The sequence below is a fragment of the Homo sapiens genome, chromosome 18, assembly GCF_000001405.40.
Source record: "Homo sapiens chromosome 18, GRCh38.p14 Primary Assembly".
Classification (NCBI taxonomy): domain Eukaryota; kingdom Metazoa; phylum Chordata; class Mammalia; order Primates; family Hominidae; genus Homo; species Homo sapiens.
Window position 1 is genome coordinate 71,428,459 of NC_000018.10, and position 26,707 is coordinate 71,455,165.

The 26,707-nt window shown below is 34.5% G+C and overlaps 1 long non-coding RNA gene across 1 annotated transcript in view; it reads left to right on the forward strand.

The window, feature by feature from the left end:
• The first annotated feature begins 3,626 nt into the window (after positions 1-3,626).
• LOC107985179 (uncharacterized) overlaps positions 3,627-26,707 on the forward strand; it is a 191,915-nt gene continuing 168,834 nt past the window's right edge. Inside the window, exon 1 of the long non-coding RNA XR_001753502.1 lies at positions 3,627-3,690. This is a non-coding gene — a long non-coding RNA (uncharacterized LOC107985179). The remainder of the gene's footprint in view (positions 3,691-26,707) is intronic.

Here is a 26,707-nt window from a genome sequence, read left to right on the forward strand (position 1 = left end):
TTAAAAACCTCCCCAAACAAAAAATTAATTAATTAATTCCATCTAGGTTGCTCTAAATGCCATGGTTTAATTCCCTTTTATGGCTGAGTAGTATTCCATGGTGTGTGTGTGTGTGTGTGTGTATATATATACATATATACATATGTGTGTGTGTATATATATATACACATATATACATATATGTGTGTGTGTGTGTGTGTATATATATATCCTAAAAATTAGTATTAAAAACCTCCCAAAACAAAAAAAAATTAATTAATGGGCTTAAGACTCAAAGAGGTGCTTTAAAAATGTATGCTCAAATGATGATAAACATGTAGAAGAGTGCTTAGCTTCATTAATATTAAGGTAATTAAAATTAAAATTAAATCTGGTACCTTTCAAAGAACTATATAATGAGTAGCCCAGAGCAGGATTGTTATCCCTGTATCGTCCCCTACAGGTTTTGGATTGGCTGAAGCCTTTGTAATTGGGTTAATGATGTCTTCAGATATGGTTTTTGATAGCTCGTTCTGCTCAAGCGTGAGGTCTAAATTTTAAGATGATACCGTTGGATGGAAGCAGGTGACATCTTCTCATTGCCAGGCCGAACCCTCTTTTGAGAGTGAAGGACATCAGTCACATGGACCAAAGACCCACAGGAACAAAAGGAAAATTATAAGACATTGGCAGATGGGTTATTTTTAATCTAATTCAAAACTCAGTGGCTATGAATGAGAACATATATTTGAAGTGAAGGAGGAAGAGCCATGCATATTTTTCTAGGTAAAGAACTGAAGTGTCTCTCTCAGTTTCATTTGCATTCAGCTTTAAGTTTCATGATTGACACTCACTGGCTTACCTGTTTGACTTCTGTTTCTGTAGGATGTGTGGCCTACAAAACATATGTTTTCTTTCTGAGGATTTTCTTCTTTAATTTTTTTATTTTTAATTTTTGTAGGTACATAGTAAATATATATATATGTATGTATATATATATGTATGTATATATATATGTATGTGTGTGTATATATATATATATATGCTTATGGGGTACATGAGATGTTTTGATATACGTATGCAACGTGAAATAATCACATTATGGAGAATGGGGTATCCATCCCCTCAAGTGTTTATCCTTTGTGTTATAAGCACTCCAGTTACACTCTTATTTTTAAATGTACAATTAAGTTATTATTGACTATAGTCACTGTATTATGTTATCAAATAGTAGGTCTTATTCATTCTTTCTATTTTTTGTACCCTTTATCCATCCCCATCTCCTCTTTCTGTGAATATTTTAAGAGCAGATTCTTAACCCATTTATGCCTGAGGTTGAAATTTTTTGAATTTTTGCAATCAGACCATGAGCAGTAAGATATAAATAACTCCCACATGCTTAGCGTTCCAATAATGCAACACTAGGCATAAAAATTAATTCTATGAGATTCTAACTTTCCCTTTCTTCCCTTAAATTATACCTTTTCTACTCATGAAAATGATTTCATTCGTATCCAAACAATTGGTTATTTGGACTTTATTAAAACCAATGAACACGAGTTCTTAGTTTCAGTTTCTATTTATATTTCTATTTATAGAAATTTATATTTCTACTACTATGTAAATGACAAAAATGTCCAACTTTAAGGACGTAACATTTTTGTCATATATTTTCTTGTAAGGATCCTTTACATTTAAATCTACAGTCAACTTGGAATTAATGAGATGCTTTTTAACTAAAATCATTAATTTTATAACTGAGGTTCAAACTAAAATATTATTTATAGTAATAAAATTCCTTTCTGACAATTTCTATTGTAAAATATCAAACATTCTATTTCCTTGTAACATTGTGGCTCCAGGCTCTGTGTTTGTCCAGTTTTCTCACATTCTGAAAGCCCCTGTCCAAAGGTGCTAAAGGAATCAGGCACAGGGCACACGGAGAAACTGCATGCATTCTGGTGTCTTGGAGCTCAGGTGAGTGTCAGGAAATAAGTAAAAGGCTTTCACATTTTTGTGTATTTAGTAGAGACTGGGTTTCACCATGTTGGCCAGGCTGGTCTCTAACTCCTGACTTCAGGTGATCTGCCTGCCTTGGCCTGCCAAAGTGCTGGGATTACAGGCGTGAGCCACTGTGGCCAGCCTAATGGTGGACTCTTTCTTCCTTTATATACCACTAAGTTATCCTGGCTCATAGTCTTTATCGTATACATTTTATGACTTTAATACTATTTTGAGGATCATTTGAATATACTTTTATAAGCTTTTGACAGAGCAGTCAATACCAATATATCATGCAGATATCCATAATTATGGAATTAAAGAAGAAGATTTTTATTTCAGATTTGGGATAAAAATGTTACAAAAATACCTTAGAATAGTGAAGACTAAGTACCATTTTATAGATACTAGCTTTTCTGTTTCTTCAAAATTGAATCATGAATTTTTAACATCATGGACAAAGCCATATCAATTTATGGCCTAAAGCATGCATAAAAGATAAGTAAAAATTATGCCGGCTTTTCATATTAAAAAGTCTGTATTTCGCAGTCTCCACACAGGTATTTTTTTTCTTGTTTTATGTATGATTTAATTTAAATGGCAAAGTGAAACTTTTTAGATGCTTGTTTTTTCCTCACACTTCATGAAAGCAGCATTCTCTTTCATCCGTCATTTCACTGGAGTTGTTTGTTTGCTTTTTAGTATATAGTTGGCATGTGTGCACCCTCCCTTCAGAGGGATGTCGGTAACATTTTTCAAAGGAGACAAAGAATGCTTTTTTTTTTTAAAAAAAAGATATTGCTCATAGAGAAGGTACATCTGAATTATTGATAGGTTCACTCATTCAAGAGTTGGCCAGGGCGACTGTGGTTCCAGCCTCCGCTGGGTCCTGCCTCGTCCTCCACTGCCAGTTGTTCTCCATCCTGCCAGAAATGCCAGCCTTGTTCTTTGCTCCTTTTTCCTGCAGGGCAATTTTTGGAAGCTTGCCTGCTTACTGACACAAAACAATAATCCAAACAGAGGACAAAATCCAGTGGAAATTTTTCACGAAGGGGTCTGGTAAGGGATTAATACTAACTGCAGGGATGACATGGAGAGAGTAAAACAAAGCTTCTCTTAATAAGTAGTCACAAAAATGGCTGCAGAACCTTTCTCAGAATTCTTTTCCTAAGATATACGAATTAATGAAATCATTGAGTCATTGTACTATAAGTTCTGTTTTTGGGATTTGTTGTTGTTGTTGTTTATTTTTTCATTCTCTACCAGGAAGTTAAGTAAAATATTTATAAAGGCAGAGAGAGGAAGAGAGACACAGAGTGGCAGCAGTGATTTTGGTCTTTTGATGAAAAACATCAGCTACAGCATGCAACAGGATTTCCTGTAGTTGATGTTTCACTATGTCAGTAGATAGGTACACAGCCTTATTAAAAAATATTTTTAATGGAAAGTATTTCCTGAGATTTTGGTCTATTTTTGACTCATGGATGAGGCTGAAGGTTGGGAGAGGTTAAAATGCTCTTTGTCAGCTTTTATTTTCCCAAATGCTCATTGTCATCAAGTTTGTATATTTTCCTCTGGAATGCTGGAGAAAGGGGGAGGGCATCATACCTCTGTGTCAAAGAGTGGTGATACAATGACAAAGATTCTTTCTTTTCTCTGATCTTATGAGGCCGAGGGAAAGAAAAATATGCCACAACTAATGATTGTGAGGTACAGTAAAATTTAATTTAATCTCACTGTATTTTCAAAAGTGCATAGAAATGTTTAACCATCTCTATTACCGTGAAACTAATCAAATGATAACCACCATCTTCATTTGTTTTCCTATGATTATCTTCTCCTTACCTATCTGAAATAACGTATCTTCAGTAAATATGAGTATGCTTTTAAAATTTTGTTGCATATGATTTGCTATTATTTTCTTTAGGATCTATGTGTCAAAGTTAATATACAACACTGGTAAGATTCAGCCTTTTCAAGGAACTCCAATTTTGTAAATTGTCAGTTGAGCATAAAAAATATTAAACTGTAGTTTGTAAAATGTGTGATAAAGTGCGTAGAGGTAAAATGTGAATACTTCAAAAATAAGGGATTATTGCATGAATAGAGAATTTGATAGATACATATGCAATAAACAAAGGAGAATAAAGTGCTAATTGTAGAAATTAGTTGTGTAAATCAGTATTCACTATATACTTCCTTAATATTTTGTTACAATGTCTTCATAATGAAATGTAAGAAATACTTATATTGTCTACTGAATAATGACATATTACCTTGTCATAGATATTTAGACATGGGACACTGAATAAATTGTATTAAATTGTCATAAATGAGGCACTTACTATAACCTTCTTTAGTAATATTTCAGCTAACAACTGAGGGCCCAGGAAGATTGTAGATTTTTTTAATGACCACGTCAGAGGTGAAAAAACAGCCCATTTTATGTGGAGAATTTTTAACCCCAAGCAACTTCACTCTGTGAATAGAAAATAGAAATAGAAAAACTTAATCATGTGGCATTCACCATTCTGAGAAAACTTCCTGAGGGGATTTTGAAGTAATATACTTGCCTGGGGACTTGGGTACTCTGATTCATAAAAATCTTCCCTAGATTTCTGGTCCCAGCCTAGTTTGGACAAACTCTCATCCATAAAAGATAAAGCTTTGACTGCATGGAATTTTAAACTATTATAACTTTAATTGCCTGTGATTTCCAAGGAATTTACAAATAAAAATGTGGAAAATGTATATTCTGGTATCCAAAACAAGGTTTAATTAGGAAATCTTAAATTTCTAAAATGTGCTTTGATATTTATATGTTTGAGTATCTCATACACACACAATAATTTACAAAAATATGTAAAATGATTATCCCAAAAGTCAGTGAACACAGTGACCAGCTTTAAGGCAATTATCATGAATTTAAAAAAAGTTTCCAAGCCGTGTTCTGTGAATATATAAACTATCTTTCTGATGGGCAATGTAGTGGCAATGGTATGGCCTCTGTGCAATCTTGCAGAATGCTGAAAAGAAATATGTTGGCTTTAGGAGTTCTTTGTGTTGTGAGATACCCACCAACAAGGTGCATTGCCATTGCTAGGGGCTTTCAAGAGAAATGTCACTCCTCACAGCAAGTGATGAGATTTGACATATGGCATCAAAGCATCATTAAAACTACACCTGCTGCAGAAGAGGCTGTGTCTTTCAAGAGATTCTCAAGCAGAAAAGGTTACGTTGAAAATCCAAAAGGCTAAGACTTATTTCTTTTCTTTGCAGACAATTAAATGCTCTAAAGAAAAAAGTAAATTGCACAAAATTATGTAATGAAAAATGCTACTTTTACAACATATTGTTAATTTTTTTTTACATATTTGTGGTGCTCAGGGTTTTATTTCCATACACGTATACAATGTGTAATGATAAAATCGAGATAATTAGCATATTCATCACCTGAAACATTTATCATTTCTCTGTGTTGGGAGCATTTAGAATACTCTCTTCCAGCTATTTGAAAATGTAAAATACAGTTTAAAAGCTTCTGTACAGCAAAGGAAACAACAAAGTGAAGAGACAATCCACAAAATGGGAAATAATATTTACAAACTACCCATCTGAGAAGGGATTGATAATCAGAATATATAAGGAGCTCAAACGATACTATAGAAAAAAAACTGAACCATGCAATTAAAAATTGGACAAAAGATTTTAATAGACATAGAATCTCAAAAGAAGACATACAAATGGCAAACAGGCAAATGAAAATGTGCTAAACATCCTTGATCATCAGAGAAATGCAAATCAAGATTACAATGACATATCATCTCACCTTGGTTTAAATGGCTTTTATCCAAAAGATAGACAATAACAAATGCTGATGATATGGAACCTACGACAACCACTGTGGAGAACAGTTTGGAAGTTCCTCAAAAAACTAAATATTGAGCTAATATATGATCCAGCAATCTCACAGCTGGGTATACACTCAAAGGAAATCAGTATATTGAAGAGATACATGCACTCACATGTTTGTTGCAGCTCTGTTCACAATAGCCAGAATTTGGAAGCAACCTAAGTTTCCATCAGCAGATGAATGGATTAAAAAAATGTGGTACCTATACACAATGGAGTGCTACTCACCATAAAAAGAATGAGATTCAGTCATTTGCAACAACATGGATGAACTGGAGGTCATTATATTAAGTGAAATAAGCCAGACACAGAAAGACAAATATCACAGGTTCTTACTAATTTGTGGGATCTAAAAACCAAAACAATTGAACTCATGGAGATTGAGAGTAGAAGAATGGTTACCAGAGGCTGGGCATGATAGTGGTGGAGGTGGGTGGAGGGAAGTAGAGGATGGGTGGGGATGGTTATGGGTACAAAAGTAGTTAGAGTGAATGAATAAGGCCTAGTATTTGCTAGCACAACAGGGCTACTATAGTCAATAATAATTTAACCGTACATTTAAAAGTAATTAAGAGAGTATAATTAGATTGTTTGTAACACAAAATATATAAATGCTGGGGAGGGTGAATACCCCATTCTCCATGATGTGATTATTTCTCATTGCATGTCTGTATCAAACCATCTCACATACCGCATAAATATATGCACTTCCTGTGTACCCACAAAAAATAAAATTGAAGAAAGAAAATTTACAATAAATTGTTAACTGTATTCACCATAGTTCTATAGGAGACTGGAATTTATTCTTCATAGCTAGCTGTAACTTTGTATCCATTACCTAACCTCTCCATATTCTTGTGCCCCTCTTTCCAGTTTATAATAACCACAATTCTACTCTCTACTTCCATGAGCTCAACATTTTCTGTTCCACCATATAAGCGGGAACATACAGCATTTATTTTTCTGTGCTTGACTTAATTCACTTAACGTAATGTTTTCTGGCTCATTTATGTTTCCCCAAATGACAGGATTTCATTATTTATGAGAGAATAGTATTTAACACTGTGTACATACCACATTTTCTTTATCCATTCATCTGTTGATGGATAGTTTGATTGATTCTGTATCTTGGCTATTGTGAATACTGCTGCAATAAACATGGGGCTGCAGATATCTCTTCAATATACAGAATTCCTCTCCTTTTTTTTTTTTTTTTTTTTTTTTTTTTTTTTTTTTTTGGTGGAGTCTCGCTCTGTTGCCCAGGCTGGAGTGCAATGGCCCTATCTTGGCTCAATGCAGCCCCCACCTCCCGAGCTCAAAAGATTCTCCCACCTCAACCTCCCAAGTAGCTGGGATTACAGGAGTGCACCACCACACCTGATGAATTTTTGTGTTTTTGGTAGAGGCGGGGTTTTACCATGTTGGCCAAGCTGGTCTCAAACTCCTGACATCAAGTGATCTGCCTGCCTTGGCCTCCCAAAGTGCTCGGATTACAGGTGTGAGCCACTGCGCCTGGCCATGAATTCCTCTCCTCTGGATATATACCCCATAGTGGGAGAAATCCAGCATACTTATTTTTTTTTAGCTTTATGAATGTTATGTTTTCTTTTCATCACTAGAACATGCAGTAAAACCTCATATGACTTATTCCCAACTATTGATTTCTGTGAGAAAGATGTCATTTTGAAATAGCATTCAAGGGCCTGAAAATGTCTGGTTATGCTATTTGGGCAAAATCTACATTTTCTACATTTTAAGAGCTTTTAACCGGTGTTCCTTATCATGCTTCCAATTATGGAAAAGAAGGCAGTATAATATATTGATCATTAATGATATGACAATGGTTTACATGTTTTATCTTCTATTAACCTCCTACCTAGTAATGTATATAGATAAAGAAACTATGTCAGAGTGGTTAAATAATTTATCCAGTCTCACACACCTAAAGGGGTAGAGATGGAACTTATGTCCAGGTTTGCCAGATGCACAGAGCTTATTCTTGCTACTGTATGCTATGTTATCTAGCTTGTTCAAGATTAGACTATGTGTATTAGATAAAGGAAATCGTTTGTCTTTAAGCTTAAATATCTTAAAGTGAAGTTTGCAGGATAAGGCATGTTCAAAAAAAGAAAAAGAAACAATTTAGTATCTGTTATGCATTATATAACTAGCACTGACAGTATGCACTGCCTCCGTCAAATGGAGAGATAGCACAAGAATGGGTTACTCAGGAAAGGCTCTTAGGGGAAGGTACTTGATATAGGTTAGAAGAATTGAAAAGATTTAAGTGAAAAGCTCACAGGACACAGTAGTAATGGAAATACTGTGAGCAACAAACACAGACATTTTCGCCTTCGATAGAAGCAGTTAACTGAGCTCCTGAGATGGCTTCTGTCTATGCTAACTATAGACAAAAATATACTTAATCTTTCTCTATGTTGCCAGCGTGACAGATTATCATTATATCAACCTCTCTGCGTGGAGAAAACACGTAATTTACAGAAACAATAAATAGTTTCATAGTAAAATTGTTATGTCATTACCAAGCTTTCACCATTGTTAGCTGTGCTTTGACTGTGACTGCTCCAAAATTCAGGTGTTGCCAATGTAATTGTATTAAGAGGCGGGGCGTTTAAGAGGTGACTAGGCTAAGAGAGCTCCTTCCCTTGTGAATGGAATGGAGGTCTCTATGAAAGAGGCTTTATACAATGTTAGACTAGTTTGCCTTTCTGCCACCTGTCATGTGAGGACCCAGTGCTCCTTCTGCCAGGGGAGGATGCATTGTTAAACGTGGCACCTTGGAAGCAGAGAAGAGGTCCTTACCCAGCAACTGAACCTGCCATGCTCTTGATTTTGGACTTGACAGTCTCCAGAACTGAGATAAATAGATTTATGTTTTTTTTTATAAATTTACCCAGTCTATGGTATTTCTGCTACAGCAGCATAAATAGACATAGGCAGTTAGAAAATACGTGTATCAGTAAGGGAAAATGCATTTTCTACAAACAAAAAGTAACATAATTGTTCCATGTGAAATCAAGTTTAAATTTTCTACATCTTAGGAAGAATGAAGGATGCCTTTTAAAATATGGCCAAAATTGTAAGTGGCAGACTATGAAGAGAAAAGGTAAATTGAAATATCAACTCAATTGAAAAGCATACCCCAAATTCTATACTTCAGAGCATATATGGAGAAAATACTATCATCGGTTCATTGAAAGTAGGGTTATTTGAGGACACACACAGTTTCAATTTACTCTGTATTCCATCATTTAAACATATGTCTGGAGTGTTTACTACGTGCAGATAATATGCTAAGTACTAGACACAAAATGATGAGTGAAAATAGACACATTCCCTGATCACTACATGCAAATGTAGGTGGATGACAGAAATGAAATGTTAAAATCTTGCAAGCAAATCCAAAATTTAAAACTGTGAAAAGTTTTTGGAAGCATTGCCAAAGAAAGCCAGAGGAACCTGATTTAGTGTGGGTCAGATTGGATTTAAATTAAAATTCAAGAGAGATGATACTGAAGAGACAGAACACATGAAGACACTGATTTATGATAAAGAAATGGACATTTAAAGAAATTGAAGAGAATCTTTGTGGGAGCCGAAGAGGTGATAGGGAGAGGGAAGCATTTTCCAGCTCCAGAGGCCAGTGGGGCCAGGTCATACGCTTCATCAGACAGGTTAAAAATGATGTAATTACATTGACATAATAGACGGCTTTTGAATAGATGGTTAATATCATCAGATTTTGCTTTTGTTTATTTATATTTTTTTAAAGCAATCACTCTGGCTCAAGTATGGAGAATGGACTGGAGGGTGGCAGAAGGCTAATTGTGGCACAGATGGTGAGACCTAAGGGCTGATTGGGGTGAACGGAATGGTGGATAAGCAGAAGGTATGGGTTCAAGAGATAAACCCAAGAGCTTCTCCTTTCTGGGAAAAAGGCAAAGAGCAGACACTTCTACCTCCCTCTCTCAGGGAGAGGGAAGGACAGGACCTGAGAGAGCAAATGTGGAAACCCTGGGGAGGTAAGGGTGAGTAGGCCCTGAGGGAAGAAGGCAGCTTGGGGTAGAGAAGGGTCCTTACTCTGGGTGTGGAGGGCTTTGAGGAGAGTACTTGCTCAGGTAGTGTTTCTATTTCTTCTCCTCCACAGTAACTAGTTGGAACTTTGTTCAATCACCAATGAGAAGAGAAAAGAGCAGAGTGCATACCCGTGAGGGCCCCAGTGCCTGCAACAGACATAGTAGCAATGAAGGGAGGCAGAGGCCCTTCACAGCTTCCTCCTGTCTCCTGACAGGCCAGGAGATTGAGCCAGCAAGGAAATATAGAGCCAGCAAGGAAATGTAGAGCCAGCAAGGAAAGTAAAGGACACGAAAGGTCAGTGCCTAGGACAACGCAAGAAGGAAGGAGAGCTTTTTCTAGTTCCGGTATTCCCTTTGACTGAAATCAAGAACCATCAAATTCAGGCTGTGGCACCATAAGGGCCACTGCCTGAAACACCAGTGCTATGCCTTTAATTCGTAAAGATTGACAAAGTGAGGCATTGAGATTTGTCCTTCCCCATCTCCCCATTCCCTGTCACCACCCTCGTGAATATGTAAATAAGTAACATGGCTGACTCCTGAAAGGAAAAACTACGATCACATATACAAAAAACAAACAAACCCACTAAAATATGAATATCTTAGCAACGCATTCTAGTATTTAAAAAGTAGACAGTAAATCAAATATTCTATAAAAATCAATAACATATACTAGATTAAAATAAAATATGAATTCGTTAATATTTTGAAATAAGCCTTTATTACCTGTGACACAATGTAGGGTATGTTAACAAGAAGTGAATACAAATATTTATATTTTTTTAAAAAGCCAAATACAAATAGTATGTATTTGTTAAATAATTAAATTGATGTCGTAACAGAAAATATAGAGCCGGAGACTGTGTTTGTGAATGTATCTCACATGTCATCAGAGAGAAATAAGTGAAATTATAAAAGAAAAATGTTAAGAGTGATAAAGGCTGGAATTGTGAACATTAGCCATTAGCATCTAAAAACAGGATTTCTTGAATTTAAAGAAAATTGTATGGAGGTAACATTTGAAGAAATAATAATTGCCATAATTAGACAAATAGAGACTTCAGAAGCAAAAAGCACAGGGCTCTGTAAAAAAAAAAAAAAAATAGACAACAACAAATTGAAAAAAAAGAGAAAACTAGCAATAGAAAGATATATTCACAGAGTAGAAAGAATCACATAACCCCAATTTCTTAGTTCTGAGTCTGGCATTAAGAAGACAGTAAAGTAGTATTTCTAGTAAGTAAGAAAGAATTTTGAAGCCAGATATTCATGCCTAGCCAAATTATATCTAGAAATGTCAGAATGAAATAATATATTTTCAAGCAAAATCACAGAAAATTTATCCCACCCAGACATGCCTGAAAAATACTCCTGAACAAAAAACTAATGAGCTCAGTTATCTACTCAAGATCTGAGAAAAAAAGAGATCCAGAACTAGCTAAAAATATAAAGAGATAACTTGAACTATTCTTGAAAATTTTCTGTAAGTTTTAAATTATATAAAATTTTTTTAAAATCATGTAATGTGAAATAACTGCATGCAAACATTTTAAAAATCTCCCTAAACGGTATAAATGAAATTATAAATAAATAAACATGGCTTGGTCATGAATGGGAAAATTTTATGTTTTAAATTTAATTTTTAAATTTAATGCTGTTACTTTCTTTTAAATTAATGTCTGAATGTAAGGCATTTAAAATATTTTTGGCAGAGTATTTTGAAATATTCAATAAAACAATTTAAAAATTGATTTGGAAAGTAAATAATACCAAATGGTCAGTGCTGTTTTGAAAATAAAGATTAAAATTGGAGACATATAATCACTTACTATAGTATAATAACTAAAATATTTTGCACTGATACAGAAGCAGATCTGGAAATTAAATATATGACAGAAATGGCACCACAAGACGATAGAGAACAAGCAGCTTGCTGGTAGTTGGTGTTAAAAATGAGACAAAATTTGGAGATCAAGCTGGAAATGTATACTACGCTGTATAGATTCCAGGTAGACTGAATTCTGAAAGATGAATAAAATTTTAAACTCTGTAGAAGCTTATTTCTGTGGCTTTGTGGTAGAAAATACCTTAAAACCTACTAAGATCGAGCAAATATTTTGTATCTATTTCTTCTTTAATAGTAATATTTTTTGTTAAAATGAAGGTGCATTGGATAAATTTCCAGATGGGAGGTTTTTTATAATGTCTAAAGCTAATAAGAATCTTATTACCTATTACCTAGGAGATTTTAAAAAATGGGGTAAAAGTGCAAATAAAAACTCACAGATGAGGAGCTATACTGTTTGTTGTAATTAGCTTAAAATAAAATATGGTCATTAGAATGACAAAAATTTGAAAGATGGATAAAACTGAATATTGATAAGCATGTGCAAAAATAGGTATCTTATGCACTGCTAGTAAAAGAATAAAGTAGCACTGATATTTTGTAGGACAATTTTGAGGAACATAGTTAAATTAAATCTGCACATACTGTCCCACCTATTAAATCCCATCTGGTGTGTTGATCCATGAAGAACTCTTCCACAGATTCAAAATATGTATTATTAGGATGAGCATAAGAATAGTTTTGGAAGGCAAAGAGTTGCTAGTAACTTACTTGTCCACCACTGGAAAAATGAATAAAACAGTGAGGCAGACACATTCTGAGGAAGCAAGAAACTAGATGTTCACAGAGAAATATTATGACTTTTCAAAAGGAGGTTCAATTAAAAGAAGAAACGAGATAACAATTATACCTCTAAATGTTATATTGAACTTGCACAAAAATTAAGAAATTCCAATATACAAACATTCAAAGGATATGTGCTAAATGCATTAAAATAACTGACAACCATGATGGCAGCCAGCCAATGGAATTAGAGATAAGGAGAAAAATAAATAAAGCACAACATCTGAGGGACTTTGTATGGGCTAATGATCATAGTATAGCAGGAATTCAGAACCGTATGATTATGTGATATTTAAAAAGAACAAAAATGCTTCCACGTATTCACAACAAAGCAAAGATTTGCAAAGTTAGAGAAGCAAGGAAAAGAGACATTTTTATTTGTTTATTTATTTTATTTTTGAGACAAAGTCTCGCTCTGTTGCCCACGCTGGAGTGTAGGGGCGTGATCTTGGCTCACTGCAGCCTCGGCCTCCTTGGTTCAAGCAATTATCCTGTCTCAGCCTCCTGAATAGCTGGGACTACAGGTGCACACCACCATGCCCGGCTAATTTTTGTATTTTTTAGTTGGGGTTCCTCCAGGTTGGCCAGGCTGGTCTCGAACTCCTGACCTCAAGTAATCCACCCATCTCAGCCTCCCAAAGTGCTGGGATTACAGGCATGAGCCACCATGCCTGGCCAAAATACATTTTTAATAGAGAATATCCTGCACTGTCTGAGGCTGCTCAGAAGTTGATTAGGATCAGCGCTGATCAGGAGCCAGAGAATTTATAAACATTAGAACTATCAGTTAAATTAACAAGATCAACCTCCATGAATTTATGGGGTTTGGGTATTTTTGGAATAGTCTGAGTAATAATGGGAAAATGGGCAAGCTTTTGTGCAGTGCTGATAGGAAGGAAAAGACACATATTTTAGTGGTAAATGTTCCTGTTACCTCAAATTTGTTTTTGCTTTTCACAAATGTTCCTGAGAGTGTAAGGTGGTGAAATGGATGAGAATTTCAGAAACAAAGCATCAGCATGTGCAATAGTTCTGTGGAGAAATTTAAGACAAAAACATAGAAAGCCACAGTGGTAGGACAATGAGGATAAAGAAGCATGACAAAACTGGACACAGTTCAGGTCATATGACTATGGTCATGGCTATTTCTACTGAAGTGTTTGGTTATTATAAAACTGGGAAATGTATGTTGTGTTGGTATTCATTTTGATTGTTAAACTTGATTGCTGTCACCCTTCACCATTGTGACTATTGTCAACACAAAAAGGCCACAGTATAACCCATATCAAGTCCCAAAATAATGGAAATAAAATAAAAAGTCAGTTAGAGATTTAGTCTAACAGAAGCATAGAGTAGATCTAAATAAAAGCATTCAAAGTGTCCTCAAAGGGATATAATATGTTGTAAGCCTAGGAAATTTAGCCAAAATTTAATAGAAAACACTAACTTATCTAATAAAAAATGCAAAGAGAAATTTTTCTAAAAAAGAAATCATTACAAAGATAGAATTCACAGAGCCAACATTGGTAGTACTGTGGAAGAAAATAGGGATAAAGACTTGATCTTTCTGGTTGCAGAGATCAATTCATCTTTCTTGGAGTCAGATGCATTTGGATGTTATAACTTAATGCCTGTAAATATTTGGATTGCAGCCTACTCCTCCCACTGGCCCATTTTATGTTTAAAGTCGTTAAAGAGGACTCTGATAATTTGCCTACATATGTAGATGTTAGAGAGAGAATGTGCTGGGCAAATAGGATGACTGCTTTATTGTTAGGTCTATTTATCTTTGTAACAGATTGAAAGGCATTTTTAATTTAGACATCAATCTTGAGTCTTGGCTAATGTGACTCTCTCCTGAAGAAACAGGGCTATAGTGCGGCTGCTGACTCAATCAAGTTTCTCAGCTCTCTGGGATAAGGCCAGACTGTGACTCCCAGCAAATAAATTTGGATAATTGCGTTATGGCAGTTCTCCTGGGAGACAGCCACCACTTTTTTCCTCACCTCTCTCAGTTGACATCTGCTGGCATTGGAATACGCAGCACATTTTCTCATCTTCAAGAACTCTTACAAGAATTAATGACAGAACAATAATTATGGAACAGATATTTATTCTAAATTCAGGCTATTCACCTAAAATTACCTAAAATATTGCAGTCAACATCATTTAGAAGAGTAAAAGAAAATGACGTTAAGTAACTTGATTAAGCTCATAAATTAATTGTTCTACTGGAAAGAAAACAGTTCTGATGTCACTAATATTTTTTATCATGAAAACATATATTGTTCAATTATGCTTCTAGCCAAAGTGGAGTAACAGAAACTAGATTTACCCCTCTGCTTGAAACAATCTAAAACAAAAAAGTATAAAATATATAAAACAATGGTATGCAACACACTGGATGCAGTGACCCCTAGAAGCAGACAATAAAAAAGGCAAGTCCTAGAATTGCCACAGTTACTGCTTTGAGAGTTTCCCAGTTTGAGGGCAAAGAGGGTGTATTAGTTTTCTTTGGCTGCCGCAATCATTCCCACAAAATAAATGGCTTAAAGAACTTAAATTTATTATCTTACATTTCAGTGTTTTAAAAGTTCAGTCTGGCCCTTAGAGCTATAATCAAGGTGTCAGCAAATCTGCATTCCTTTCTGGAGGTCCCTCTAGAAAGTTTGTTTCCCTGCCTTTCCCAGCTTCTGCAGCCTTCTCACATTCCTTGGCTTGTGCTCCTTTTATCTTCAAAAACCACAACTGTGGGTCCAGTCATTCCCACACTGCATCACTCTGACCTTCTTTTCTGCCTTTGTTCTTTTATAAAGACTTTCGAAATTACAAGACTTCCACCCAGAAAATCCAGATGATGTCACCCTCATAAAGTCAGTTTTCAGGAACCTTATTTCCATCTACAAACGTAATTCTCATTTGCTGTGTATTGTAATGTATTCACAGGCTTTATAGATTAGGACATGGGCATCTCTAGAGAGCATCATTATTCTGCCTACAGCAGAGAGAAAACACAAGCAGAGCCTTCAGCTTCTGCAAGTTCAGGAGATGTAAGCTGAGAATCTAAGGAGGACAAAGTATCTTAGAGTTCACAGCATAGGTGATGTATAAGAGAAAACCACAAGGAAAGAATTCTGGATGTCAGCAGAGAGCTTCCCTTAGCTATTACGCTGATTAATACATGTGAGTATACTGCAGGGTGCTGGAGAAAGAGCCACTCTGAAGTGTGAGACCTGACATTCATCACAGAAAACCTGAGGCAGGAAACATTGCCTCATCAGAGTATCTGAAGAGTAAGACTTAAAATACTTGGATAATTTGATAGAATACACAGAAGGGTTTTTCCCTCAGTAATGGAGAATAATTAGCCCTCTATTGACAAGTACTGGGATCCCATTGAACAAATCTCGAAAGCAAGACCTAGAAATATCATACAGTTTTGATATGGTTAGGCTTTCTGTCCCCACTCAAATCTCATTTTGAATTGTAGTTCCCATAATCCCCATGTGTTGTGGGAGGGACCCTGTGGGAGGTAATTGAATCATGGAGGTGGTTTCTGCCATGCTGTTCTCATGATAGTGAGTGAGTTCTCTTCAGATCTGATGGTTTTATAAGGGGCTTTCCCATTTGCCTGGCATTCATTTCTCTCTCCTGCTGCCATGTGAAGAAGGACGTGTTTGCTTCCCCTTCTGCAATGATTTTAAGTTTCCTGAGGCATCCCCAGCCCTGCAGATCTGTGAGTCAATTAAACCTTTCTTTTATAAATTACTCAGTCTCAGGTATGTCTTTGTAGCAGCATGAGAATGAACTAATACAAGTATCTTTTCTTTACCTTTTTTTTTTTTTTTTTTCCTGAGCCAGGGTCTCTCTCATTCTTTCACCCAAGCTGGGGTGCAGTGGTGTGATATCAGCTTACAGCAGCCTCTGCCTCCCAGGGTTGAGAGATACTCCTGCCTCAGCCACCTGAATAGCTGTGACTACTGGGACATGCCACCACACCAGGCTAATTTTTGTATTTGTTGTTTGTCCAGGCTGTTCTTGACCTCCTGAGCTCAAAAGATCCTCCCGCCTCAGCCTCCCAAGGTACTGGGATTACAGGCCTGATCCATCACGCCTGGCCCAATATCATTCAGTTTCTAATTAATTCCACGCTAATTAAGTTCAAGTGTGTTTATAGGAACATAACATGGGTATCACTCAATAAAGTAATATTCAAAATGTATGATATTTAATCATACATTAAACTACAGTGGGTAGTAGAGAAAAAACTACAATGGGTAAAATAAAAAAATATAATGAATATAATTGATGTCATGTTAGATGTACAAAAAGAAAAGATTAATAAGCTTGGAAACATAGCAATAGAAACTTTAAAATTAAACACCGAGTAAAAAGAGTGCGAAAAATGAACAGAGCCTCAGTGAATATCAGGATAACTTCAAGCAGGCTAATACACATTAAATTGCGTTCTCAGAAAAAGGGTGATGTAAAAAAAAATTGGAGAAAGAATGGCTGAAATTTTTCAACTTTGATAAAACTATAAAGTTGCATAACAAACACTCAGTGAGCCCCAAGCACATGAAAAAGGAAGAAAATTATACCAAAGCAAGTCTTAATCAAATTGGTGCCAACTGATAAAGATACGCTTAAAAGCAGACATAGGAAAAGAACAACTAGAGAAACAAAAATATAAAGTTGTCAGTTTTCCTTGTTTGTTTGTTCACTTATATTTTGGTATCAAAATGACAAAGAGGTAGTGAAGTAGTATCTTTAAAGTACTAAGAAAATGCTTAGAATGTTATACTCAATAAAAATGTATTTTGAAAATGATAATGAAATAATAACATATTTATACACACTGAAAGAATTAATCACCAACAAGCCACTCTAAAAGAAGTGCCAGAGAATGCCCTTTAGGCAGAAAGAAAATCATTGCAGATAAAATATGTATCTACCACAGCAGTGAAAAATATAAAAAAAAGATAAAATGTGGGAATAAATATAAATATTTTTCTTGTTCAAATTTCTTTAAAAGGTAATTGACTGCTTAAACAAAAATCATATTTTAATGTATGTGTTTATAATGTATATAAAAGCAAAATGTATGATAACAATAAGTTAAAAGCTGGGGTGGAAAAAATAGTGTGTTGGAAAATTCTCATACAATCCACAAGTAGTATAAGCCTTTGAATACAGACAGTGATTAGTGAAAAATGGCTACTTTAACTGTTTATCTACAACCATCTGATCTTCAACAAAACTCACAAAAACAAGCAATGGGGAAATGATTTCCTATTTAGTAAATGGTGTTTGGAAAATTGCCTAGCCATATGCAGAAAATTGAAACTGGGCCCATTCCTTACACCTTGTACAAAAACGAACTCTAGATGGATTAAAGACTTAAATGTAAAACCCAAAACTATAAGAAGAAAAACCTAGGCAATACCATTCAGGACATAGCCACAGGCAAAGATTTCATGATAAAATCACCAAAAGCAGTTGGGATAAAAGCAAAAATTGACCAATGGGATCTAATTAAACTAAAAAACTTCTACACAGCAAAATAAACTAATCTCAGCACTTTGGGAGGCCGAGGTGGGCAGATCACAAGGTCAGGAGATCGAGACCATCCTGGTTAATATGGTGAAACTCTGTCTCTACTAAACACACAAAAAATTAGCCGGGCATGGTGGCGGGTGCCTGTAGTCCCAGCTACTTGGGAGGCTGAGGCAGGAGAATGGTGTGAATCCGGGAGGCAGAGCTTGCAGTGAGCTGAGATCATGTCACTGCACTCCAGCCTGGGCAACAGAGTGAGACTCTGTCTCAAAAAAAAAAAGAAAAAAAAAAGAGAGAGAGAAACTATCATCAGAGTAAACAGACAACCTACAGAATGGGAGAAATTTTTTGCAATCTATCCATCTGACAAAGGTCTAATACAGGGAACTTAAGCAAATTTACAAAAAACAAAACAAAACAAAACATTAAAATGTGGACAAAGAACATGAACAGACACTTCTCAAAACATTTATGCGGCCAACAAACATATGAAAAAAAGCTCAATATCACTGATCATTAGAGAAATGCAAATCAAAACCACAATAAGATACCATCTCATGCCGGTCAGAATGGCTATTATTAAGAAGTCAAGAAACAACAGATGCTGGCAAGGTTGTGGAGAAATAGGAATGCTTTTACACTGTTGGTGGGAATGTAAATTAATTTAATCATTGTGGAAGATGGTGTGGCAATTCCTCAAAGATCTAGAGCCACAAATACCATTTGACCCAGTAATCCCATTACTGAGTATATACCCAAAGGAATATAAATCATTCTATTACAAAGATATATGCATGCAGATGTTAATTGCAGCACTATTCACCATAGGAAAGACTTGGAATAAACCAAATGCCCATCAGTGATAGACTGGTTAAAGAAAATGTGGTACATATACACCATGGAATACTATGCAACCATAAAAAATGAGATCATGTCCTTTGTAGCATGGATGGAGCTGGAAGCCATTATCCTCAGCAAACTGAAGCAGGAACAGAAAACCAAACACTGCATGTTCTCACTTATAAGTGGGAATTGAACAATGAGAACACATGGACGGAGAGAGGGGAACAACACACACTGGGGCCTGGTGTGGGGTAGGGTCGGGGGAGGGAGAACATTAGGAAAAATAGCTAATGCATGTTGGGCTTAATACCTAGATGATGGGTTTATAGGTGCATCAAATCACCAATGCACACGTTTACCTATGTAACAAACCTGCACATCCTGCATGTGTACTCTGTAACTTAAAAATAAATATTTCTTTAAAAATGCTACTTTAACCTTTGCCTGGAGAGAGAATATATGATAATAGGTTGTCCTTTTATTGTGAATTAATAAATTTAATTTCACTTTTAAAATAATGAATTTGTTTAATTTTTTATCTCTAAGAAGTTCATTTTTATTGGGTGATACTACCATGGAAGCAAATTTGTCAAAGCAACACATGCTCAACTTGTAAGATATCCGTTTGACAGCTTATTGTCGTTTCTCTCAGGTAGCTTTGCAGTTTGCACCATTTTTCTTCCTCTTGCTTTTCTTCCTCCTTATTCATGTTATTCCAATTTGTTATATGTAGCACATCTCCACTGGTATATAATCAACATATGGACAGGACTTTGTCTATTTTATTTACTGCTATATCCCCACCTATAATAAGGCCTGGCTTATATTAGTTATTCAACAGATATTTGCATTACCTTTTATGCCTGCATTTTATTATTACTGAGTAAATTAGTTCATTAAATGCTTTTCTTTTTCAAAAATTGATCTCTAAATAACCTTGGAAAACATAGAAGTCAGACTGATTAACATCAATTACTTTTTTTTTTTCAGTCACGTAGCCTGTTGCTGTCTAGGCCTACATCTCTTCATTGAGGTGTAATTCACAATAACTATTTCTCTCTTATTTATGGTGATGAGATGTGGGAAAAGAGTTTTCCATTTTTTTGCAAAGATGTACATAATCATCCCCCAAGAGATTGTTTCATCAGAACTTGGCTGACAGCTCCAGGTTTGTGAGTGAGATGTAAATCATCATATGTCCAGGTTAGCTGTGTCTCTCCTTTACAGCCTTTCTACCAAAATCTTTCAAATGGTGCTTCTGGAGGCTGCTGCTTTTTTCTGAAGATTTCCTCTCCTCTTCTCTTTCCATGGTTCCTTTTATTTTGCTTTTGTTGAGGCTCCTTTTTTGACTTGAGAACAAGAATCTTCAGTGAATCAATAATTTTTTCTTTTAAATCTCAAGTCCAATCCCTCTACAGAAAGGAGGAGGTATAAGATGTAACTCAAAATAGATGGAAGAGAGGAGCTCAAGAAATCCCCTATTTCTGGGTATTAACTACTTTCTTCTATAATATCATAATACATGCATTTCTAATTTGGTAGAATTATTTTAATGTAAAAGTGGTACATCCATTCTTTCTCTGATGTCATTTTTCTGAAAGCCACTTGTCCTACATTATGCTGTCAATAAAATCACAAAGTCTTCGCCAACCAAAGTTTCATAATCTTGGATTTGTCTTGGTTGTGGGGGTAAGGTTAGAGGTAAGCTGCAGAAACAAAGATAACATTGTGACCCACTTAATCATCTCCAGTCTATGATTTCAAATCTCTTTATTTTTTAATTTATTTTTGTTGTTGTTCTTTTGAGATGAAGTTTCACTCTTGTTGCCCAGGCTGGAGTGCAATGGTGTGATCTCGGCTCACTGCCATCTCTGCCTCCAGTGTTCAAGTGATTCTCCTGCCTCAACCTCCTGAGTAGCTGGGATTACAGGCATGTCTCACCATGCCCAGCTAATTTTGTATTTTTAGTAGATCCGGGGTTTCTCCATGTTGGTCAAGCTGGTCTCAAAATCCTGATGTCAGGTGATCTGCCCGCCTCAGCCTCCCAAAGTCCTGGGATTACAAGTGTGAGCCACTGCACCCAGCCTTCAAATCTCTTTATAAACATCATTGGCAATCATTTTCACTTGGTTTTACAAAAGAGGTTTTCTTCCGTTTCCCACCTATATGTAATTAATTTATACCTTTTCATAATGCTTCTCAAATATATTTTATTAGGAATGATTTTCTTTTCACTTTTGCAATATAATTATATTTTTCAAATCCTAATGCATTTGTCCTTCTGGAAGACTGCCGAATACTCTGTCCTCCTTAGTAGTTTGTCCTTTTTGTAACCAACCCCCCCATTGTAGTCTCTTTATCAGAGTTTCTCTATATTGGTTTGTTTTCTTGGTGTACTTGATTGATCCACTAGCTCAGTTGCTTATTTCAAATGACAAGATTATCAGTTTGGGTAACATGTATTTTTCTTTGCATTTCTTTATTCTAGAATCTTACATTGTTCTCTTAACCATGCCTAGCATTTGTCAAAAGAGGTACTGGAAAAGAGAATGAGGCTCAATTAAGGTATTCACATTATCACAAAGAAAAAAAAACATGTAATTTTAGATTGTGGTTACCATACATAATATATAATGCATTTCAGCTCAATAAACACATATTTCTCTGAATATATCCTGATAAGACATATTATTATGCATTTAAAATTCTTTCAATGTAAAGGTAATGGATTCAAACAGCATGGATATAATGCCTCTATCTCAATCATGATAGATATTTCATTTTAATGTAATTTCTTTCCCTCCAAGATACTACAATTGAAAATAAAATGAGTGGGTGACAGCTGTTTCTCTCTTACTTCTCCAATGCTCCTTTGCCATTCCAGCTGAGCAATCTCATAAAAATGTCAGCTCTCCACTGGCAAAGCATGCTGCACCTGCCTGCCATGTGCTTAGTGACTACTAACATTTATATATCGCTGTATTTCAAGTCAAATAAATTGATAAAATGCAACTCAAAAACGCACCACATTGCATCGCTAATGCTTTTTAAGTAGAAATGTTTTCTTTCCCAGTCCTAATGCAAAGGGGCCATTTCTTATTCTATTCAGTGAAAACAAGACCACTTCAATATTTAATTTGGAAAATGGCACTAAAAATATTAAAATAAGATATATGCACTTAAGCAGACAAGCCAAGACTCTTTAGCTACTTTAGTATTGTGTACTGCTGCCACAGAATATGCTAAACCTGCTAAGATTTTATTCTCTACTAAGGCTCCTACAAGCTAATAATCTGTGAATTCATTCAATTTCCATTAGAGATGTAAGAAGCTGCAGGTGATATTGGGAAAGTAGCATTAGCACACTGATGTATGCAAATGGTGCTTTGGAGGTGCCTTTCATTTTCATGAAAATTTTACTTACCATCTGACTTTTTTTTTAGACTCTGCTTGCTTTCATGTAACAAATGTTTTACAGTCAATTTATCAGAATTATATGAGAAAAAACTTCTAAATTGCCCTTAAGAAAAAATCTTTCCAAAATAATAAGAAAGACATATTCTTAAAAACTAATAAAATAGATAACAATGAAGTTAATTTAATGAAGTCTAATTTTTTAAAAAAGTTAAATAGATAGTTTACACTAAGATTTTAAGTCTGTGCTTTGACTCCCTTATATATTGGGATATTAACTCCTTGTGAGATGTATAGTTTCAAATATTTTCTTCTATTATGTAATTCTGTTTTCACTTTGTTGATTGTTTCTTTTGCTGTGTGGAAGATTTTTAGTTTGCTGTCACCCCATTAGTCTATTTTTGTTTTTGCTGCCTAGGTTTGTGATGACATATTCAAAAAATTCTTGCCCAGACCAACTGCATGAAGCATTGTCCTTGTGTTTCTTCTAGTGCTATCATAGTTTCAGGTCTTACATTTAATTTCTTACTCCACTTCTAGTTGACTTTTATAGGCAAAGAGATAAGGTTTAATTTAATTCTTCTGCATGTAGATATCTAGTTTTCTCAAAAATTTTATTAAAGAAACTCTCCTTTTCCCAGTGTGCATTCTTCGTATTTTTGTCAAAAAACAATTGGCTGTAAATGCAGTTTATTCTGGGCTCTCTGTCTTGTTACATTGGTCTATGTAGCTGTTTTTATGCCAATACCATGCTATTTTTGTTACTATAATTTGTTGTCTATTTTGAAGTCAGATAGTGTGATACCACTAGCTTTTGCAAAAATAATAATAATGATAATAATAACCTAATTAAAAAATAGGCAAAAGACCTGAATAGACATTTCTTAAAAGAAAATGTACAAATGGCCAACAGATAAGTAAAAAATACTCAACTTCACAAATCAAAAACGACAATGAAATACTACCTCATCCCAGTTCAAATAGCTATTATTAAAAGACAAAAGATATATATTGACAACAATATGGAGAAAAGGGAACAGTTATACACAGTTGATGGGAATGAAAATTAGTACAGTCATTATGAACAACTCTCTTTCTAAAAACATGAAAAATAGAAAGTACTCTATGGTTCTGCAATCCCGCTATTGGGTATATTTGCAAAGGACATGAAATCGGATGCCCCAAATAACTGCTTTCTCATGTTTATTGTAATACTATTCACAGTAGCTGAGATATGGAATTAACCTAAAGGTCCATCAGTGGGTGACGGATAAAGAAAATATATAATATATACACAATGGCATATTATTCAGCCTGAAAGAAAATGCAATTCTACCATTTGTAAACACATAGATGAACCTGGAAGACATTATGTTACGGAAAATAAGACAAGCAAAGAAATACAAATACCACATGATCTTTCACTGATACATGAAATTGAAAAAAAGTTCATTTCATTGAAGTAGAGAGGAAAATGATGGTTCCCAGAGGCTGGGGTTTTTAGAGGAAATGAGATAGGGAGATATTGGTCATGGAATACATAGGTACAGTTAGACAGAAGTAATACATTTCAGATCTCTGTACAGCAAGGTGACTATAGATAATGACAATATATAATATTCTTTAAAAATATAAAAAGAATGAGTGTTATATACTCTCAGCACAACAATGATAACTATGAGAGGTAATGCCTTTGTTAATTAGCTAGATTTAGTCGTTGTATATATACTTCAGGATGCCATGTTGTACACAACAAAATCATACAATGTTATTTGTCAATTAAAAAAATACATAAAAATATATTCATGCTTTATGTCTCCTGTGGAAAGCCAGAAACTTTTTTTCCTTAAAGATTGGCATATTATTTCACAGAAAGGCTGCTGAATGCATTTGGGTGTCTCATCATATTATTCGTACACAGTCAGGATGTGTGAATTTTGTTAGTTTTCCTTTGCAGTCTTTTCTTCTTTTTTAATAAATGTCAAGTCAATATCTCCACGTAGACATCCCCACCAAATTCTAAACCAGAGAACACATACGCAGGGGGCTGAAAGAGAAAATAAATGAAGAAGGCTCCGGTGAGAATGGCCATACTCTTCCTGGTGGGACATGTGCTATTTAGTATTTTCATAAAGGGACAAACACCCAGTGTGGAAAATTTCCATTTCATATGTCAACATTGATAGATTAGTAATAACTGCCTGGAGATGCACTTTAAGATGGATTCTGAGTCTGTGTCCACAATCAGAGAGAAATAATGGCCAGATCAATTTACTAGTCTGTCAAACTTTATAAGCTATAGTAAAACAAATTTTATTTTATTCTACATACAGTTGCCAAATGATATATGCATTACTTTTATATGAATGGAAAATTTCCAGTAAATTACATTTCTAGAATTATCAGAAACTGAAGTACCATAGGCCCTGGTTTAGTTTGCAGGTTCTATCATGTATTAATCTTTACACTTAATTTGAAGTCTACCCCTTGTCAAAATAGAGAAAATGACTCAAATTTAAGTAAGTATTTATGGTGTGATCATTTTAATGCACATGTTTTAAATGTTTATTTTATAAATTTTTTATTTTAAAATAGAATCAATAATTAGTTGATGTTACTCCATGTTATTTTTTAAATATTAGCTTTCTTTTACTTAAACATAATAGATATTTTTAGTGTTGAGAAGGAGATTTTCAGTGTGATGTAACCAGTAAATATTTTTTAAACAATTCTTTGTTGAGGACTGATGAAGATAAATTATAATAATAATTTTTCTTACCATAAAGTAAGAAATGTACAGTTAGCCTTCCTTATCTCTTGGCCCTTCATTTGCATCCATATGTTCAACCAACCATGGGTAACAAATATTCAAAAAATAATTAAAAACAATACAACAATTAAAAAAACAAATTAAACCGATATAGTATCACAACTATTTATACATTATTTATATTGTATTAGGTATTATAAGTAATCTAGAGATGATTTAAAGTATATGAGAGGATGTATGTAGGTTATGTTCAAATATTATGCTATTTTACATAACACTTAAGTATATGCAGATTTTTATATCCTTATTTTGGGGTATTCCTGGAAATACTTCTCCCATGATACTACTGAAGGGTTACTGTATAATTTTTATAAGCTGGATGCATTTTACATTGTTTCTGTAAGACTGCATTATTTCAATGTCAGAATCAGTTATATTTCAAATAACTACATCATCCTGGCAATGAAGTTATGATTAATACAAGCTTTGGGAGTAATTATTAATTTTTCATTTAACTAAATCAAGGATATATAGAGGCATAAGAATAATTCTTGGAGACTCTTGTATATTTGTTAAATAGGGAAATTACCTATCCTAAATAGTTTGTAAGGTTAGGCTTGAGTGTGCTTTATAGCTAAACAAAGAGAGATAATAGACTGAATAATATGTTTATTATCAAATTATTTGGCTGTTATTACATTTTCATTACTGTATATATTAAGATAGTAGAAATAAGTTTAGGACATTTTCAAAAAGCTTTATTACATTTACAAATTATCTTCCTGAAGTGAGTCTACTTCTTAATTTATCAAAAGTTTCTATTAGTTATTCATAAAGCCATAAATATTAGCTTAGATACATATATAGTTTAAATTCTATTTGCTCACTGTTCTGGCAATCTGTTATAATTGTATGCTTACTATATGGTGTCCCTTATGTTTATCAAGTGATAATGTATTATCATAAAATATAATAATTTTTTCTTACTCAGCATTTTAAAAACCTTCTTCTCTGATATAGAGTGGATGATGCTGAATACCTAAGTTAGGAGAGGCTACATAAAGACCGCCAAGGATGTGTGTGTGTATGTGCGTATATGTGTGTGCACATATGTGTGCATGTGAATATGTGTGTGTGTGTGTTTCATGGGTGTATGTGCTTTCAGATCAATCAAATATAGGATAACATTCATTCACCACAAAAGTGTTTTCTATTATATGGAAAATCAGAAGGAATAATCAATTTAATAGTGTTTTAATACCAAAGAGGCTCTCTATAAGTTTAATTTAAACGTGTCTTTTATACTGTTACATTTTTATTATCTTTCAGGGCTTATCAAAGTATTATCTATTAATAATTTCCCATAATCCATATAAAATATTACTTTTTATTTTAATTAACTTTTTGTAAACTTTGCATTGTCTTTTAGGTTATTTGTCTTACACA